We start from the raw sequence: 22,438 nt of genomic DNA, 5'->3' as shown, positions 1-22,438 counted from the left end.
AGCAAGGTCTGCTGGAACAGGAATGACAGTGGCTAGGAGAGCCCCTAGACCCTGACAATGCAATCCTGACAGCTGCAATGATATGGTCCTGAAGCTCAGGACTAGATTCAGATGTAGTCCTGAAGCTCAGGCCCTGGTCCCTGCTCAGAAATGTGGAAGCTTTGCAGTCCTGGGATGGCAGACAGGACCCAGCTACTGGTAATCCAGGCCTTATAAATCACAGTGTAGTAAGAAGTAGGAAAATACCATTCCACCTATTTTCTATTTCTAAAGTTACGTGCATGCAGATGCATCTCTGAAAAAGAGCATTCCACATTCTTAGTGGGATGTGAGTATGGATAAGAGCACATGCCCTGAGTCAGGCTGCCAAAGAAGGAATCCCAGCCCTGCTATTTGCTCCTTTGCTACTCATGAACATTTAGGCAAGGTTTTTGTTTTATTTTGTTTTGTTTTTACCTATCCTAAGCTGCAGTTTCCTCATCTATAATAAGAATAGCGAGATGAGCAAAGGAAAAGTGTTGGTATGTGTTAAACGCTCAAGTGAGGCTTCCATGATTATCTTTGATATTCTTCTTCTTGAATTCCCACCAATGCTATTCTCTGAAATGCAAATGGTTAGTTTTACAGAATATGCTTTCTCTTATTACCTAACTTCAGAGGGCAAAAGGTTTTAACACCCAACACTTTCCTGAGACTTTCATAATTTCTGAAATAGATGACTCAAATTTTCTCCTATTTTCAATTGTTATGATATGCCACAAAAAGTATTTATCAATATACCTCTTGGGGTAGAAGCTAAGACACTGAGGCATCTGTGTTTAGATAGAAGTGTTCTGTGATCCAGACACACTACAAGGAGGAGAACGTAGCCAAAGGCCATATTCCCTGTGATAGGACCTGTCCTAGAACACTGCCTGACACTGAATAACTTCTAAAAATCTGCTAAACTCATGAAATCCTTAAGAGCAAGTGGAATTTTGTAGAAACCTGGAGAGAGCTGAGTTTCATGTCTAGACTAATAAGGGGAAGAATCCAAGTGGTAAGAAAAGATAAGAAAGGGAACCCCAGGAACTCAAAGCACTGTAGGAAAACTGTCCTCTCCTACAGCTTTGAAGTGTGTTTGGGTAAAGTTTAACTTAATCTCTGATACTGAATTTGGAAAATCACCGAAGTCTACAATATCATTATTTCAATATTGGGAATCATTAAAAGGCTTTCAGCTATATATATATATATAATGTATTACATATTATCATATACTTATATATAATGTATTACATGTTATCGTATACTTATATATAATGTATTACATGTTATCGTATACTTATATATAATGTATTACATGTTATCGTATACTTATATATAATGTATTACATGTTATCGTATACTTATATATAATGTATTACATGTTATCGTATACTTATATATAATGTATTACATGTTATCGTATACTTATATATAATGTATTACATGTTATCGTATACTTATATATAATGTATTACATGTTATCGTATACTTATATATAATGTATTACATGTTATCGTATACTTATATATAATGTATTACATGTTATCGTATACTTATATATAATGTATTACATGTTATCGTATACTTATATATAATGTATTACATGTTATCGTATACTTATATATAATGTATTACATGTTATCGTATACTTATATATAATGTATTACATGTTATATACTTATATATAATGTATTATATGTTATATACTTATATATAATGTATTATATGTTATATACTTATATATAATGTACTATATTATATTATATACTTATATATAATGTACTATATTATATTATATACTTATATATAATGTACTATATATTGTTATATGCTTATATATAATGAACTATATATTGTTATATGCTTATATATAATGAACTATATATTGTTATATGCTTATATATAATGAACTATATATTGTTATATGCTTATATATAATGAACTATATATTGTTATATGCTTATATATAATGAACTATATATTGTTATATGCTTATATATAATGTACTATGTATTGTTATATGCTTATATATAATGTACTATGTATTGTTATATGCTTATATATAATGTACTATGTATTGTTATATGCTTATATATAATGTACTATGTATTGTTATATGCTTATATATAATGATTATATAATATATATTGTGTATTACATATTATATAATATATATTGTGTAGTATATATTATATAATATATTGTGTAGTATATATTATATAATATATTGTGTAGTATATATTATATAATATTTATGTAGTATATATTATTATATAATATATTATGTAGTATATATTATTATATAATATATATTATGTAGTATATATTATTATATTATATATTATGTATTATATATATTATATAATATATATTATGTATTATATATTATTATATAATATATATTATGTATTATATATATTATATAATATATATTATGTATTATATTATTATATATTTATATATTATATTATGCATTATATATTATTATATGTTTATATGTAATATATTATGTATCATATTATTATATATTTATATATAATATATTATGTATTATATATTAAAATATAATATTATATATTATGTATTATATATTAAATATAATATTATATATTATGTATTATATATTATAAATTTATATATAATATATTATGTATTATATATTATAAATTTATATATAATATATTATGTATTATATATTATATATTTATATATTATGTATTATATATTTATATATTATGTATTATATATTATATATTTATATATAATATATTATGTATTATATATTATATATTTATATATAATATATTATGTATTATATATTATATATTTATATATTATGTATTATATATTATATATTTATATATAATATATTATGTATTATATAGTATTATATATTTATATATAATATATGTATTATATAGTATTATATATTTATATATAATATGTATTATATAGTATTATATATTTATATATATATTTACTATATATGTAAAATCTTGCATATGTGGCGATCACCATCCTTTCCCTAAACCTCTCTACAATAATAGTAAAGGGATTTCACAAGAGCAAAATCTTTATAGACAGAGAGAAGTAGACAGGAGACAAGAGTAGAAAAGAAAGGTCAACAAAAGTTTGGAATCTGAAAGTGAATAGACTTGAGAAAGCAGAATCCTAAGCCTGCTGAAAAACCTCACAAGAACTCTTGCCTGGCAGAACCTGGAAAGGCCTTGGAATTGGAGATACCAAGTGTCTTGATTATAGGGTATGGGTAGGGTTACCAATTGTCCTAGTTTGCCTGGGAATGAGGATTTTCATGGTACACAGCAGAACTTTCAGTGCTAAAACCAGCCAGCTAGGTGGTGGGTCACCCTAGTTTTGGCTGGGGCATGCAAACAAGAGAATTGGTTGAAAGTCCAAACCCCACATCCCTCCCAATAGCCAAGCAGCCATCTTCCCCTTATACAACTTAGATAAAACAAAAGTAAGTTTAAAACATTAGAAAAAACTCATCAAACATTCTTGACATTCACACTTTCTATATGCAGATGTCAATTTGTAAAAATGAAGGGCCTCTCTCTTAGCAACAAAATGTAAAGAATCGTTCAAAACTTTTCTTGTGGATATGATAAAATATACATAAGGTTTCTCATCATTTCTTGGCAGCAAAAAACACCAGACATTGTGTTTTCAAATACCTGTTCTCTCCAGTTGGATACATTTTTATTTAGGAATACAAAATGAAATACTTTTAGGGTACACTAGAACCAAAATTCTCAGACATGCGGAACTCCCCTGAAATTCGGGAGAATTAGAATATTTAGAGTGAGGCCAGAAATCTGTCATTTTTTCAAACACTTCATATATTCTTTTCATCAGTCAGGTTTAGAAATCACTGGATTAACAAACGTTCATATGGAAGCCAGGACACATATATGTGGTCAAGGCCTCAGGGATATACTATGAGGTGACTGAGTAATCTGACATTTAGGCCAAGATCCCTGGGAACATGGAAATATGATCCTAGAGCTCTCCACCAGCTGCTGTCTTCACCAGACACCCTTCTTGGTGATATAGCTCAGCAGATCTCACCATCATGATGTTGACTCTTGCAGAGAAGGGTCTATACCCTACAATGCCCAGTCTGCCCAGTCAAGCTGAATTCTGAGAAATGTGTTTCATCAATTATCTCTGCCCTGGTAAAAGCCAGAACCTTCTGAGGACCAGTGATATAACTCACTGCAAGCACCCTACTAGACTTTGAGGAGGGACAACCTAGTAGGAAACAGTAAATATGTTCTCAAAGCTATGCAACTCTGCTCTGCTAAACTCTGTGGAAGAAGGCCTTGACTTTCTCCATCAGTCATTTTTAAAAATAAACACAATCGGGCTTTACTTCCCCCTCGCTCCATTAGAAAGCATTGACAGCTAAAGGAGACCTGTGTCCAAATGGAGAACACAAAATGAGGAATAGCTCTTACAAGAATACCTCTTCCTGAGGAGAAAGAGTAAACAGAATGGACATATCCAGTGCTATGTGGTATAAAGAAAACCTCTCCTAAAAATATCTAGTAAGGTACTCTAAAAATTCCCACTGGGGTAAAAAAAAAAAAAAAAGCCTACATGTTAATATTAATACATTTGTTTCCCAATAAGTTTTCATCATTAAACATTTTTAAAAACACTAAACATTTAAAAAATATCAAAACATTAAAAAAAGAGCCATTGAAAAATTCCTCCTGAGATTTGCTATAAATATTGGTTCTAGATCTTGATATCTTGCCTCCCTTATTTCATCCATCAAGGTAGGTCATGTATAGGAACAAGCACCTTGTTGTCCATGCACTTACGAGACAAAGGAATATCTGGATTATCTGTGAAAAACTTGGTGTATTCATAATCTACATGTTTTTGTTTCCAAATTGTATAACTGTACCAATTAGGATGACTTACAAAGCCACTTTCATAGTCATAATCATCCCTGCTTTCCATTCAAAAGCTACTGCTACTATTATTTATTACAAAGAACAAACCCACCCATGCACATTCATAAAAGAATGTTCACATCACAGGTGTGCTGTGTTTCTGTTATTCTTTTTCATCAGTCCTGCCACTCAGACAGGTGTTCAGTGGATCAAACATTCTAAAGAAAAACTATCTTCTATTAGAGCTAACACCAATAGGTGAGAGTCACAGGAGGGTCATAATTTGCCAGTTGGTAAACATATCTGTTCTTCAGGCTCTTTAGTATCCCTTGAGCTATGGCCACTTGAACAGAAATTATTCATCAGTGTTGGCTTGTAAGTTTCTCTATCATCCAAGCCACTTGGTGGCTAGCAAGTAACGCCCATTGATCTTTGATGAGCTAGAGTTAAACAAGTGGCAGCAGACAAGTGATGAGAGGCTGATGACCTTACCTCTTACCGTTAGATTATGATTCGGGTAGCCAGACATAAAAAGCTAAGACTGTAGGAGCTAAGTGGCTATGATTCCATGTTTTTCGCAGATAGGAGGCCAAGGAGGCATAAAATGTGGTTTTTTTGAAGGTCGCTAGACCTAAGTTACTAATACTATCCCCAAGCCAACCAGCTTGCTGGAGAGTACAGCAAGGAACCACTGACCCTTTCTTTTCACCATTCACTAGAGGACTGAAGACCTAGAATACTTACTCCTATGGCTTCATTGTTTAGTGAATGCAAAAATACTTCATTATCTCAACAGAACTGACAGCACACTTCAAACCAATCTGAAACATGTTGGTGTTGGAAAAGGCATTTTGTTTCTGCAGAGTTGACGCCATTAAGGAATACATAAGTTGGCAAAAGAAAGTAATTGTTAAAGTTATTTTATTTTTACAATTTTGCACCTTGTTAAAATTTCAAAAAGTATCTTGAAGCCCACAATTTAATTTGAAAAACACATAAAAAAGTACAGTATCACAAGAACAATGCTCAATAGAAATGTAATTAAATGACATGGAAATGTAAACATAAGTATTTTTCCAAAAATATCTACAAAAGATAATCAAAGCACTAATGTTATTATTTACATTTCTCTATCACCTTTTTTATAAGAAGCTCAGTTAATTACTGTGCTTCCTTAGTTTCTGCACACTATTATAAATTAATCTTATTAACCTCTTTCAATACTCAAGTACCTCATCCCAAGAGTTAATATCTGTCTTCACTTGGAAACAAGTTTCTAGTGTAAAAAGAGCCACTACTGAGCCTAAAAGGAAAAGTACAATAACTAAAATGAACAATTCCTGGACAGGCTTAACAAAAGACTGAAGATGACACAAGAAAAAGTCATTGAACTTAAAATAAATCAATAGAAATCATACAATCTGACAAATATAAAGGAAAAATTTTTTAATGAACCGAGCCTCAGTTAGTTGTGGGATGATATTAGAATTCTAACATACATGTAATTGGCAATATCAAAAGGAAAAAGAAGAGAATAATTGGATGAAAAAATACTTAAAGATGTAATGGCTAAATATATTTCCAATTAGGGAAAAATATAAACTTATGTATCTGAGAAGCTTATCCAATTCGCCAATCTGACTAAATATAAATAAAACGACATCTAGGCACATTATAGTCAAATTGTTTAAACTCAAAGTTAAACAGAAAATCTTGAAAACAGTCAGATGAAAAAAATGACATTACATACAAGGGCACAATAATATGAAGAACAGCTGAACTCACATTATAAAGGAGATCAGCAGACAACGAAACAGCATATTTAAATTGCTGAAAAAATCAACAAGAAATTTTATATGCAGGCAAAACTCTTATTCAAAAATGAAGGCAAAATTTTAAAAAACCATTATCAGATGAACAAAAACTAAGAGAATGAATTGCCAGCAGATCTATCCTACAGGAAATGCTAATCGAGGTTGTTCAGGCTGAAGAAAAATGATACCAGATAGAAACTATGTACCAGAAATGGTACATAGGTGAAAGACAAACACAAATAAATATACATTTTTTCTTCTCTTAATTAAAAAAATACAGATTGCTATTGAAAGCTAAAATTATAAAACTTTATTGGAGATTTATAACAAATATAGATGTAACATATGACAACAATTTCACAAAGAATGAGGTAAATGAAATTATATCATAGCAAAATTACTATATTTTATGAGAAGTAATATAATATTAACTCTAAGTAGACTGTATAATAAGTTAAATATGCATATTGTAATCCGTAGGATAAACACCAAAAATACACAAAGATACACAGTTGAAAAGCCAACATAGAGGGCTGGGTGCAGTGGCTCACGCCTGTAATCCCAGCACTTTAGGAGGCCGACGCAGGTGGATCACCTGAGGTCAGGAGTTCGAGATGGGTGTGGCCAACATGGTGAAACCCTGTCTCTACTAAAAATACAAAAATTAGCTGGGTGTGGTTGCACATGCCTGTAATTTCAGCTACTCAGAAAGCTGAGGCAGGAGAATCGCTTGAACCCGGGAGGCAGAGGTTGCAGTGAGCCGAGATCGTGCCACTGCACTCCAGCCTGCGCAACAAGTGCAAAACTCCATCTCGAAAAAAAAAAAAAAAATAGAAAAAGAAAAGAAAAGCCAATACAGGAATTGAAATACCTAAAAATATGTAATTAAGCAAAAAAGAATATAAAAACGAAACAGAGAAAGAAAAAGAAACAGAATAAATTAAAAAAACAAAATGGTAGACTTAAATTCAATCATACTGATAATTGTAATATATGAAAATGGACCAAGAAAAAGGCAGTGATTTTTCAAACTGGAAAAAAATGAAAAGCCCAACTCTATACTGACCACAAGATTCACACTTTAAATATAGAGACACATATAAGTTGAAAATAAATAAAATTATATATATATATATATATATACTATGAAAATACTATTAAGAAGGCAAGAGTGTCTGCATTCTCTATTAATATCAGACAATATAGACTTTAAGACAAGGAGTATTGCTGGAGATAAAGTGGGACATTTCATAATATAAAAGGAAAAATTACTCAGGCAGACACATTTAAAATTATGTGTGTATACCTAATAACAGAGTATCAAAATATATGAAAAAACTCAAAAGAACTAAAAGGATAAGTAGGCAAATTGACAATAATAGCTGGAGATTTGAAAACCTCTTTAACAGTAATTGATAGTATAAATAGACCAAAAATCGATAAGGATATTAAAGGTCTTAGCAACACCACACAATGCCATAACCCTAATGATATTTAGAGACTACTACACTGCACAACTACAGCACACACAAGCACACATGGAATGTTCATAAAGTCAGTCCACATGCTGAACTAAAAACAAGTCAACAATTTTAGAAAATTAAAATCTTAAAGAATATCTTCCATAGTAGCAATAGAATTTAACTAGTCATCAGTATCAATAAAATATCTGTAAAAATACCCAAGTATTTGGAAATTAAATATACTTTTAAACCCATGGATTAAACAAAAACATCATAAGTGCCAAATAGTTTGAAATAAAATGTAATGTAAATACTACATTCAGAAATTTGTGCTTGCCAGCTTAAGCAGTACTTAGAGGGAAATTTATGATTTCTAGTGCTTATATTTATTAGCAGAAAAGAAATATTTAAAATCAGTGACCTGACAGGCACAGTGGCTCACACCTGTAATCCCAGCACTTTGGGAGGCTGAAGCAGGTGGATCACTTGAGGCCAGGAGTTCAAGACCAGCCTGGCCAACATGGTGAAACCCTATGTCTCTACGAAAAATGCAAAAATTAGCTGGGTGTGGTGGTGGGCGCCTGTGTTCCCAGCTACTCAGGAGGCTGAGGCAGGAGAATCGCTTGAACCCAGGAGGTAGAGATTGCAATGAGCTGAGATCCAGCCACTGCACTCCAGCCTGGGCAACAGAGTGAGACTCTGCCTTCAAAATAAATAAATAAATAAATAAATAAGTGAACCAAATTTATACCTTAAGAATCTAAATAAAGAAAAGCTTCTACTAAGTAAGTATAAGAAACACAAATATAGTTTTTAAAACAACAGCTAAAATCAATAAAATACAAACTAAATAAAATTAACAAAGGTAAAAGTTGACATTAATACTGATATAAACATTTAGTAAGACTGGCATGAGAGAGACGGAGAAACCTCAGATGATCAGTATTAGGAAAGAAAGGGGATATCACTACAGATCCTAGAGATATTTAAAAGGTATTAAAAATGTTTTTAACAACTTTGTGTTAATAAATTGGAAAAATGAAGTGAAAAACACAATTTACCAAAACTGACTCACAATGAAATAGAAAAATTTTTATATGCATATTTAGTTTTCGATTGCAGCTATAATGGATATTTAAAACCACACCCACTTATTGTTTTCTGAGCCAGAAATCTCAGCTAGGTCCTCTGCTCACTTTGCTCAGGTCCACCCAGCTAAAATCAATGTGTTGGCTGGACTGGCCTTTGATCTGGACAGTCTAGGAAAGATTCCACTTCCAAACTCATTCAGATTGTCAGCATAATCCAGTTGCTGGTGGTTGTAGGACTGAGGTCCCTGCTTCCTTGACACACAGCCTTCTTCATCTTCACCCCAACAATTCTTTTCATGTTTTGAAACTGACTTCTGCCACAACACTCTAAATTCAATGAGAGAAAGTTCTCTACTTTTAAGAGGTATTGTAATTAGATTGGACCAACCTGATAATGCAGGTTAATCTCCCTATTTGAAAGTTTATAATATTAATTATACCTGCGGAGTCCATTCTGTTACAAAATGTAACCTATTCACACGTTACAGGGTTAGGCCATGGAGAATTTTGGGAGGGATGCTATTCTGCCTAATACAATATACTAAAGGGAGATACATAGATAGATAATAGAGATATTAGTATATCAATGAAATCTTTAAAAATTAAAACTCTTATTTAAAATTTTCAGAAAGAAAACTCCAGGCTCCGCTGGCTTCATGGTGAACTCTAGTAGACATTTAACAAACCAAACTATGCTAATCTTATGCAACAAAATTATTCAGAAAACTGAGGGGCAAAGAGTACTTCTCAGCTTGTTTTATAAGCATAATTCCAATACTATAACTTCATGAAGGCATTAAGAGAAAATCATAGCCCAATATCCATCATGACTAATGCAAAAAAATACTTAACAAAATATAATCAAGCTTAATCCAGCTATATATAGAAAGGACAATATATCATGACCAATAGGGTTTATCTAAGGAATGCCAGATTAGCTAAAAAATCCATCCATGAAATCCAACAAAATAAAGTAGATAAACCACACAATCACATCAATAGATGTAGAACAAGCATTTGACAATATTTGACACCCACTTATGTTAAAAACAAATTTTCTCATCAACCGAGAAATCAAATTTGTTCAATATAATAAATAATATCTATACCAAAACAAAGAAACATAGTAACAAAACCCTACAGCTAATTTCACACTTGATGATAAAAAACGGAAGGTCTTCCCTCTTAAAATGGGGAACAAGATAAGGATGTCCGCTGTCATCACGTCTATTCAACATTGTACTGGTTGTTCTATTCTATTCAATAAGATATGGGGAAAAAAAGAGAGTCTTTGGGAAGGAAGAAATAAACTATCTCTATTTGTAAATAATATGATAGTTTATGTTGAAATTCTTATGGAATCTTAAAGAAAACTAGAAATAAATATAGCAAGGCCTCTGGACGCAGAGTCAGGACAAACAGATCAGAGTCTGGATACAGACCCCAGGTATAATTAATTAACCTAAATTTCATCAAAATTCAAAAAAATCCTCACCAAAAGGCACTATTTAGAATATGAATGTACAAGCCACCAACTGGGAGAAACCTTTATTTATATATCTACCTGACTTGACAAAGGACTAAACTGAAGATGAAAGATCTCTTGCAACTAAACAATAAAAACAAACCCCCCAGATGCATAAAAGGTTAAAACCCATGATTCACAAGGGAAGATATATAAGTGGCCAATAAGCACATAAAAATATACTAAAAACCGTTCATCATTAGGAAAATTCAAATTTAAATCATAATCAGATACCAGAAAACACTCATTACCAAGTGGCCAAAACTAAAAAGACCACTGACATTACATGCTGTTGAAGATGTGGAGCCACTAAAACTCTCTCATACATTGCTGGTGAGAATTGCCGGTCCTCCCACTTTGGCAAAAGATTTGATTGTTTCTTATAAAGCTTAATATATACTTACCATTTATTCCAGCAATTTTACTTTTAGGTATTTACCCAAGAGAAGTGAAAAGATATTATCATAAAAAAGAACAATAGAAAAAACATTTATAGCCTTATTCTTAGTATCCCCAAATTAGAAATTACCTCCAAGTTCATAAACAGGATAATGAATTTTAAAAGTATATTAAATTGATTTTAAAAGTATAATATTCAGCAATAAAATGGAATGAATTATTGAAACATGCAACAACATGGATGAATCTCATACACATTATGCTGAACGAAATAAGCCAGACTCAAACAAGAACATATTTTTTTGTTCCACAGTATGTTCATACTGCATGTTCTACAGAACTATATGAAGTTCTAGAACAAATCAAACTCCTATGGTTAAGTCACTCTGCAGGGCTGAGTGACTTTTGAACCTTCCCAGGGAGAGAGGAGACACAGGAAAATCCCACAGCTAACCCGTGATTGGTCAGGAGAACCCAGGGATCTCAAGTTCAAGTCTCACCTAAAAAAGTTTACTGCATAGGTATATTAATTAGGAAAAACCATGAAGGAATACTCAGGGATGATTAGAAATGTTCTATATCTTTATAATGGTGTGTGTTACACAGATTTATACATTTGTCAAAATTTATCAAATTGTTCACTTAAGATTTGTGCATTTCAATGTATATAAATATTATCTAAAAACCTATAAACTAATGAACGAAAAATGCTAAAGATCTATGTTATTCTGAATAACTCTCAAAGATTTAATCTTCACAGGCTGTAGTATCCTTGGTAATAGACTGACCTGCTAAGATGATTCCCACAGAACCTCTGAGCCACATTAATTTAAGAAAGGGAAAAATGGTTGGAAAACCTTTAATCTATATAAAAGAACATTTTTTTGAGGTGGCCCAGCTGCTTGTATTTAGCGAGTTGAGTGGGCAAGAGTAGTTTCAAGAAAACCTATTCCTCAGCATAAACATATATTTCCTTCCTGGAATATGATGGTGAAGAAAGGACTTGCCAATTCCAGTATAAGCTTAGAATGGTGGCAGAAAATTATGATAATTTTGCAGTTTCAATGGAAAAGCATTCTTATACTACAAAAGTGAATTTTTGCTATAGGTTAAGTTTTCTTGCTATCCTCCACTTCCTTTTACAGAAGAAAAGTGGATACTTGAGCAATTAGCCCAAATGGAGTAAGGAAGAATTTCTCATTTCTCTAAAGTCAATTAGGGATTTTCTGTTTCTGTAAAGGATGAGGACTACATGTCCATTTCTCAGAAAGATAGAGGGATGATCACTGAGGATGGATATGGTTAGGAATTCAACAATAATGAAGTGCAAAAATGCCATGTACTTTCCATAGCCAAATAAAACAGTGATATTTAGACTTTAATTCTTTGTAATTTGGTGTTGTGTACAGTATGGCTAACTTTAATATATAACTAATGGTTTTTAGCTCCACTTCATCTTCAGCCTACATCTATAGTCCTTCTTCAATCCTCCTCATCTTTAGCCAAACATTTTTTTTTGGCACTCTGCTCCATGTTTTGGGTAGATATATTTCTTTGAATTTTCCTCAATAGTCAGAAGACTGCATTTATGAAGTGACCCCAAAAGCTTGTGGATAACAAATTGGAAAAGTAAGCATTTAGTCAGAGACAATGAATTCCACTTTGGTCCTGTAAGAGAGTACGTGACCCTGCCAGAAATTATAATAGATAGAAGCAAACCATTTTTAAAACATTGCCCCTTTTCAAATATTCTGTTTAGTTTATGCAAGTTTATTTTATAAGAAGAAGATAGGGCCAATTTTTCTTTCTTCTGAACCAAATGAATGACTCAAATTATATCAATAGTTGTCTCATTCTTTACACCACCAATTTATGTCTTCTTGGGGAATCAAAAGTAACAGAGGAAAGAACGTGGGTTTTCCAGACAGAGAGATCTGGCGGAAATTTTACTCTATCCTAGTGGGAAAGTTATTTAGTCTTAATAAGTTCGAGTGATCATGCCTATAATTAGGGTAATAGTGACTGCTAGGATTTTTAAATATATTTGTAAATACTCTTGTAAAATATATCCATAGATATGTATGATTGTTATATAGTATATATACATATAAAAATTGTTTTATACATACACACAAATACAATGAAATCTAAGTCACAGGGCTCAGCACAGGTAAAGCACTAGATAAACTAGAATTTGTTCAATGTGGCTCCTGAATCAAATGACAATTTGTTAACCAGAGTCTTGTCCTCAAGTCATGAGAACTGTTATTTCTCATCTCATTTGGCCTTCAGGATTCATGTATACACTGAATGAGAAGATACAAATGACCATCTCCTGCATTAGAATTCTAAGCCTATCACTTGGGACACTTACCAAATGCTATTCCTGGTTATTTAGATTAGAAAGGAAATAAAGATGTCAGAGATTATCACTGTATATTATTTTGGTAGTTACTATAAAAAACAATTATCCCTCATTTTCCCTCAATTCAGAAAGAAATACTCTTCATAAAATAGGCACATATCAAAGATAACTACCTCGAACAGAACATCAACTTATTTATATAGATACATCAAATGCTTTTTAAAAGACCTTACATGATTTTTAAAAGGATTCTTTGATTTAAGAAAATACAAGAAGTAAATTGGGAAATAAGCAAATACATTAAAAAGCTCATTTTCTTTCACATCAACAAATGAACTAAATATTTTTTAAAAGCAGAGAAGAAATCTCTTATTTTATGGAACCATAAAATGAGGTTTTGCTTGTGAGTCATCTTCTACAGACCTAAGTAAAAAAATATTTGGGGCATATATTTAAAATGATGATGTGGTTCAGTCTTTAAATGAAAAAAAAAGTCAATTATTTATCTTGTTGCATTGTCATATATCAAAGTCACGTGAAATGTGATTACAATTCAGAAATATCGGTGCTGAAACATTACTTGTTACTTTAAAATATTCAGAGTAAGCTTATAGTTTTTATCCTATCTATTATTACATATTTTTGAAAATTGATAATAATGGAGATGGGGTCACCATAACAACAATTTATTAGTTAAATTGAATTAATGTATGTGCTTTAATTAAATATGCTAAAAAAGTCTTTGATTTCCTAAAATGTACATTACTCATGACAGCATTTGGAAATTTTAAATTTCAAAAACTTAGTCCAACGACTAAAAATACATTATAAATATGACAATAACTCCATCCACAAGCAAATTAATTTCATTTTACCTTATTTTTATTTTAGTTCTTCATTAAAGTTTTGACTAAAATAGAAAATCACAGTGCCTACTACATAGTTGGTGAACACAAAAAATAATTTTAACTGTTTCCTGAAACATTAATACAGTTCTGTAATATTTTAATGACCTTTCTGAACATTCTAAGCAACTCTGTAAGAAAGCAAAATTGATATACAGTGTGGTTAAATTTTTCGTAATTTATTTTGATTGAAAAAATATCAGTGCATACATAGTTTACTTTAAATATTAACAATCTACTTTATTTTTCAAAAATTCTTGGAAATCTTTTTTATTGTGTAAATTTAAGATGTACATGTTTTAATATACATATACATAGTGAAGTATAATGATCTACTTTTAAAGTCTACAATTAGTGTTTACTTATAATTAAATATGATTAATTTAGCCAGTTGGCTCCTGGTAGTATCTCCAGTAATAGAAAATTATCATAAACCAATATATCTTGATTGCAACAGCCTGTACCTTTATTGTCTGTTCAGATTCTTTTCACATCAGGTCTATAATGAAAAGCTAAGTCACAAATAGAGGTATTAGAAGACACACAAAGGGGCCACTGTTCCCTGGAACAAATCAAATTTTCAATAACTCATAGGTAATTTGAGGACTTCCCTTATATAATCACCCAACAAACAATTAAATTCTATAGATTTTTCATCTAACAGTCCAGTAAGGGGTTCTTAATATACATAACCCATAAAATAAATTAAAAGTAAATCAAAGCATATGTTTAAAGTCCTTGATTCATGAAGAAACCAGTTGGAAAACGCTGAAGTCCGAATTAATGTCAAATATTTATACTCTTGGGTTTGGCAGCAGAGGTGGGTTCTCAGGAGAGACAGCACATTCCAAATGATGTTTTCTATTCTTCTCTCAACCCCACTCATAAAATGCCTTTCTGTTACACAGTAGGATCACTGCTTGATTAATAAACACAAGCTGATGTTTAACGTTAACTGGTAGTACATAGAGACGAGAATTATCACTCATCTTTACTTAAAAACAAAACTTAAGCAAGATGCTTAGGCAGTGGTACTTCTGCACCAGAGTCCTTTGCATTTCTCAAAGGAAACAAACCTAAGAATGTGATTGAAATGGGGAATCGGAGAACAAATGGGCACATAACACAGGAAAGCTCAGAGGGGGCTGTCTCCAAAACAGAGTAAACCAGTTGTGTGGACAGTGATGCTGGCATAGCTCAGGGATATGCCAAGCCCCGATGTGTTTGCTATTTTTTGCTGATACTGGGAGCCTAACTGAAGAAAGGGGACTTTGAGGAGCCTAACATTGGCTTCTCTTTATTTAATGCGCCTTTAACCAAGCGGAATTCGCTCTATGCCGACTCCAGTGGGGAGCCTTCAACCCCGAATCTGATCTATCTGCCTTAAATCCGTGAGTTTTCACCGCGATCTCAAACCCCGGATGCCAAGAGAGGAGATCAATGCCAACACGAGATTGCATGCTCCTCTGACTTTTGTTTGCTTGGGTTTTCATTTTAGACAGACACTCTTATCCTCTTTACAGAGCCTAGAAAGATTGCGAATAGCCCGATCCCTCATCAAGACAGCCCCAATCACAGCCACACAGAGCGTAAAGAAACCCAACTCTGTTCCCAGGGTCATGTCACAGAGCCGCATCTCCGCGGGTGACCGCCTAGACCTTTCCTTACGTTGAACTGCTTGTGCGCGGAGCAAGGGGAAAAGCATCTCTTTCAATTCCTCCCGAGGCCACTCTTTCTTTATGGACCCACCTGCATGGGCGCTTCGTGTCTCATTGTTGGCAAATGTCCTTTCTCTCTGGCTAGGACCGCACTGGTCTGGGCTTCCGGTCAAGCGTGCACAGTCCCGGCGCTCCACGCTCCACACTCTGCACTCTTGGGGTTCGCTAACCGGCTCCAACATCAGCACTGGAGCTGTCCTCTCCTGGCGCCGCACACGCGTACTGCCGAGGAGCCCCGTGCACTCCTGGGAGCTGTAGTCTCGCCCTCCGGGTGTTCCCGGCAAACGGGCGAGCGGTGAACTACAACTCCCGGCAAGCAAGCAAACCATTAAACAGGCTCGATCCGCCAGTCGGGCTCGGCCGCGGAGCCTCCCTACTCCTTTCCAAACGCTCCTGGGTTACCTCTCCCAGTCTCCCCTGCTCTTTTCCTCGCCAGGGGCAGGCGAATGTGACCCCAGCTTATCTCAGCTGGAGATTTTTCTTTGCTAACTATCGCCTTCGGAAGTAGATGGTGATTTTCTGATTAGGAAACAACACTACCTTGTGCTAATTTCCAATGCAAACGAAGCCAGAGCTGGTCTCTGGGACTCTCCGCCCTACCCCTCCCCATCCGAATCGGGAAAGTTTCTACGTTTCCTTAGGCAGAGTGGGGCAGTTTTACAATCTCATTCACCAAACGTAGGGGAGAAAGACGATTAACGGTACACACATAAGGAAAGTGGTTTATCCGCATAATTGCACTGAGAAGTCGCGCGCGCGTACATAGTCACACACACAACCCGCACACCGAAGTGCGTGAAAGCGAGATTTCTGGCTAAGCACCCCAAGGAACTCCTTTCGCCTGCTTACCTTTCCATACAGCTCCATTACAACTCGAGGTTCAGAAATTCTCAAGTGCCCTCGCTACAAAGGAGGTTAGGGCTCTACGTAGGAAGCGGGGCTAAAATGAAAAGGCACAACACAATAGAAGGGGTAGGGGTGGCGTCTGGCGGAGAGAAAAAGGAGGGATGTGGAGAAGACAGCTGATTTAGATGGAGGGCTTCTTTCCTCTGGAGGGAAAGCGTGGAATCCAAGCTGCAGCTGCAGAGAAAGGGCTCAGTCTCTTAGGAAGTGCCAGGGGCGCGATAGCGCTGGCCAGCCCCTCCCCAGGCCCTCCCCCAGGCACCTTCCGCCGTCATTAGCGCGCACACACTGCCGCTGGCCGCGGGCTGCAGAGCTGATAGGGCACTGGGTTATTTACCCAGAGCAAGCCACATAAAATGAACACATTCATCACCGGAACCCAAAAGCACCGTGACAGAATGAGATGGGAGACCTCTATTAAGTTATCCTGTCCTTTCTTTAACACAAAGTCATTCCTTATATTACAACTATACTCCTCCCAGATTAGTTCAAAAAAATGGTTTTGAAATCTAGGAACTGTACTTTTGTTAGACTTATCCTTTTCCTGTCAGTTGACTGATAGGTATGACTATCCATGTCCTCTGTAACTATCTAGAGACAGCCCTCTCTACTTAAAAGTAAACGTTGATCATCCAGCAAATCAGCCCTGCCTTGTCATGAAGTCAAAATTATAACGGAGGCAGAGTGAAAAAGGAATGATTGTGATATTGGCATGGAGGTATGGAAGGAATAACTTGAATCAGCTTTAAACTTCATTGCAGCAGTAGAACAGAGGTTCTGAAACTTAAACGTACTTGAAAATCTGTTGAGACGGAGGTTAAAGTTAAAATTTTTAAGCCACAGGTAGAGATTGATTCACTAGATCTTTTGAGAGGTCTGGAAATTAGCATTTTAAATAAACACTCCAGCAATTCTGATGCAAGTGGTTCCCTTGCCATAATTTGAGAAACATTGTCTTAAAAGAATCTATGTGTAACACTTTTTCAAAGGTGCAAACCTCAAAAATGTCACGGTATGGACTCAATAATGCAACAGTCTAATATTGGGAACCTACCATATTCAATATTTCCATTAATTTTAGTTGATTGTATTATTTAACAACTCTATAATCTGTCTTCTAATCTTGCAATTAGTGAGAATGTAATGCGATATCACCTAGGTAAGTAGTTTTTATAACTATTCAGAAAATACATTTAAGCCAGGTGTGGTGGAGCGTGCCTGCAGTTATAGTTACCCTAAAGGCTGAGTTGGGAGGATCATTTGAACCTAGAAATTCGAGGCCAGCCTAGGCAACATAGTGAGACACCCCCATCTGAAAAAAAAAAAAAATAGAAAAGGCATATATTTAAAAACATAAACCTCATAGTTGAGAGTAGTGTGATGCTTAGAGAAGTTTCGTGTAAATTAGCTAATAACAAAATGGAAAGTTAAAAGAAAATCCAATACCAATACGTATCACAGTAGCAACTTATTAGAAGTATGACTTCTGCAATTTTTAAAATTAAGATGTATCTAAAGATGCATCTCTTTAAAAATTGTTTTCAAGAGAAATGCCAACAAAATAATCCTGACATTTAAATGTATAGAATTGTTTGGCATTTAATAATATTTGCTTAGCTACTTAGAGCCTGCCTTTCTTCAGAACAACTTCTTATGTATATTGTACTATCATCACTTTCTGAAATTCTCAGAATTCAGTCTGATATAGAACATATTTAAACCTTATAAATATTTATCTTGCAAAATTACTGTTCTTTGAGAAGTTTATCCCTTCTCAACATTTCACTAAAATTATATATATCTTCGGATTTTTTAGTATGTCTTTTATTTGTGGAAGAACCCATGAAAGTTTAGTTTAAAGCTGGAGTTTTTAAAAAACATTGGGGGGAACTTAATTTTGTCCTAAAGCTGGAGTTTTTAAAAAACATTGGGGGGAACTTAATTTTGTCCTGTTCATAGTGTCTTAGTTGAGAATTTAAGGTGTGCAAAGAGGAAAAAAAATCTAGTCAGGAGTCAGATAAACCAAGAAAAGTGGACTGAAGATGACTAGCTAAAATCAGAGCAGGAGCACTGTAGCTTTGCTTGAAATCAGGCCACCATCCATGAATTTCATTCCTAAGGTCATTAAATGGCTGCTTGAGCTCCAACTCTTACATCCACATTCCAGCTAGCAGGAAGGACGAAAGGTGAAGGGCATTTCTTCATCACTTTATGTACACCACAGCTCTTATATTCCAGTTCCTAGAACTTAATCTTATGACCATACCTTTTACAAAGGAGGCTGAAAAATGTCATCTTTATTCTGATTGGACATGTGCCCAGTTGAAAGTCACAAATTCTGTTACAAACGGGTTTTCACTACTTTGGCCACGCTGGTCTCAAACTCCTGGCCACAAGTGATCCTCCCTCCTCAGCCTCCCAAAGTGCCAGGATTACAGGCATGAGCCACCTCACGTGGCCCTTCCATAGCATTTTAAAAAGACTAGTACACTAAGAAGGGATCTTACAGATAATGTAGCTCAATTCTTCCATTTTCTGAGTACAAAATTAGATCCCAGAAAAGTGAAATAACCTGCCTAAAGCCCAAGAGTCATCCAGTGCTGTTACAAATATTGGAAAAAGACAACTATTTTGAGAGTATATTGCAATTTATTAATATAATCAAATTTTAAGTGTATCAACTATTTTCATTATAGTTAGGGTTATCTATTATAATTTCAAATGAGGAGGGTCAAAAAGACAAGACACCATCTTCATCCTTAAGGGGACTACAAACTAATTCTGGAGACCAGATAGATAAATAGGTAACATAACAATAATAAAAAACATGAGTGGCAGAACAGTGCCTGATTAACTGCTTGTCCACTCTTACCAGTAAATGCTTTAAGGAGTTATAGGAAAGAGTAATCAGATCAATGATATTCTCTGGGAAAGTATATTGTACCCCTAAATATGTTTAAAAAGATCATCTAATTATAAATGTAGAATGAGAGACATTGACTAGAAGATCTTCAAAGGAACCTAAATATCATTTTGTTCTTCTTTCTTAATTTGCAGATAAAGAAATAAAGACCCAAAGATGAGTAATGACTCACATAGCATCACACTAATTACAAACAGAGACAGAACTAACATACAGTTCATGTGACTTCCAGTCCAGACTTCTTTGTAAATACATGACATTTCAATAATCACTACTTTGGACATGAACACTTATTTGCTGTCTCATAATTTGACCATACTTTTACTAAGAAATCATTAAAATTACCAAACATTAAATTATAAGTCAAATACCTCATTCAGAAAGATATGCAATCTGATAGTTATCTCTCCTTTGCTGGTTGAGAAACAGGATATAAGATCTAAGGATAATTGATTATACTTTCTTCTTCAAGTAAGGTGTTGGAAAATATTTTACTTTTTTTATTATTATTATACTTTAAGTTTTAGGGTACATGTGCACAACGTGCAGGTTTCTTACATATGTATACCTGTGCCATGTTGGTGTGCTCCACCCATTAACTCGTCATTTAGCATTAGGTATATCTCCTAATGCAATCCCTCCCCTCTCCCCCACCCCACAACAGTCCCCAGTGTGTGATGTTCCCCTTCACGTGTCCATGTGTTCTCATTGTTCAATTCTCACCTATGAGTGGGAACATGCGGTGTTTGCTGCTTTGTCCTTGCGATAGTTTGCTGAGAAAGATGGTTTCCAGCTTCATCCATGTCCAAACAAAGGACATGAACTCATCATTTTTTATGGCGGCATAGTATTCCATGGCGTATATGTGCCACATTTTCTTAATCCAGTCTATCATTGTTGGACATTTGGGTTGGTTCCAAGTCTTTGCTATTGTGAATAGTGCTGCAATAAACATACGTGTGCATGTGTCTTTACAGCAGCATATTTATACTCCTTTGGGTATATACCCAGTAATGGGATGGCTGGGTCAAATGGTATTTCTAGTTCTAGATCCCTGAAGAATCGCCACACTGACTTCCACAATGGTTGAACTAGTTTACAGTCCCACCAACAGTGTAAAAGTGTTCCTATTTCTCCACATCCTCTCCAGCACCTGTTGTTTCCTGATTTTTTAATGATCGCCATTCTAACTGGTGTGAGATGGTATCTCATTGTGGTTTTGATTTGCATTTCTCTGATGGCCAGTGATGATGAGCATTTTTTCATGTGTCTGTTGGCTGCATAAATGTCTTCTTTTGAGAAGTGTCTGTTCATATCCTTTGCCCACTTTTTGATGGGGTTGTTTGTTTTCTTCTTGTAAATTTGTTTGAGTTCATTGTAGATTCTGGATATTAGCCCTTTGTCAGATGAGTAGGTTGAAAAAATTTTCTCCCATTCTGTGGGTTGCCTCTTCACTCCAATGGTGGTTTCTTTTGCTGTGCAGAAGCTCTTTAGTTTAATTAGATCCCATTTGTCAATTTTGGCTTTTGTTGCCATTGCTTTTGGTGTTTTAGACATGAAGTCCTTGCCCATGCCTGAATGGTATTGCCTAGGTTTTCTTCTAGGGTTTTTATGGTTTTAGGTCTAACATGTAAGTCTTTAATCCACCTTGAATTAATTTTTGTATAAGGTGTAAGGAAGGGATCCAGTTTCAGCTTTCTACATATGGCTAGCCAGTTTTCCCAGCACCATTTATTAAATAGGGAATCCTTTCCCCATTGCTTGTTTTTCTCAGGTTTGTCAAAAATCAGATAGTTGTAGATATGTGGCATTATTTCTGAGTGCTCTGTTGTGTTCCATTGGTCTATATCTCTGTTTTGGTACCAGTACCATGCTGTTTTGGTTACTGTAGCCTTGTAGTATAGTTTGAAGTCAGGTAGCATGATGCCTCCAGCTTTGTTCTTTTGGCTTAGGATTGACTTGGCAATGTGGGCTCTTTTTTGGTTGCATATGAAATTTAAAGTAGTTTTTTCCAATTCTGTGAAGAAAGTCATGGGTAGCTTGATGGGGATGGCATTGAATCTATAAATTACCTTGGGCAGTATGGCCATTTCCACCATATTGATTCTTCCTACCCATGAGCATGGAATGTTCTCCTATTTGTTTGTATCCTCTTTTATTTCATTGAGCAGTGGTTTGTAGTTCTCCTTGAAGAGGTCCTTCACATCCCTTGTAAGTTGGATTCCTAGGCATTTTATTCTCTTTGAAGCAATTATGAGTGGGAATTCACTCATGATTTGGCTCTCTGTTTGTCTGTTATTGGTGTATAAGAATGCTTGTGATTTTTGCACATTGATTTTGTATCCTGAGACTTTGCTGAAGTTGCTTCTCAGCTTAAGGAGAT

General features: G+C 34.4%; 1 protein-coding gene across 2 annotated transcripts in view, besides 1 other annotated feature; it reads right to left on the bottom strand.

Moving 5' to 3' along the window:
* The window catches only part of RAB3C (RAB3C, member RAS oncogene family), a 277,243-nt gene extending 259,902 nt beyond the window's left edge, over nt 1-17,341 (bottom strand). The window contains exon 1 of one of the 2 annotated variants that reach the window (NM_001317915.2): nt 17,079-17,341. In NM_001317915.2, the coding sequence (NP_001304844.1) occupies nt 17,079-17,096 (18 nt within the window). In that variant the 5' untranslated portion in view covers nt 17,097-17,341. Of the gene's footprint in view, nt 1-16,260; nt 16,419-17,078 lie in introns of those variants that run through there. The other variant, NM_138453.4, reaches the window with a different exon arrangement.
* Nucleotides 16,412-16,611: a silencer, noted in NCBI's record as "silent region_16034". NCBI's record gives its function as "represses an Ori minimal core promoter by ATAC-STARR-seq in GM12878 lymphoblastoid cells {active_cell/tissue: GM12878}" and the evidence as "EXISTENCE:reporter gene assay evidence [ECO:0000049][PMID:35858748]".
* Nucleotides 17,342-22,438: the final 5,097 nt, after the last annotated feature.

This window comes from Homo sapiens, chromosome 5 (assembly GCF_000001405.40).
Source record: "Homo sapiens chromosome 5, GRCh38.p14 Primary Assembly".
Classification (NCBI taxonomy): Eukaryota; Metazoa; Chordata; class Mammalia; order Primates; family Hominidae; genus Homo; species Homo sapiens.
The sequence above is the reverse complement of the archived record's forward strand: the minus strand, read 5'-3'. Positions and strand labels throughout refer to the sequence as shown.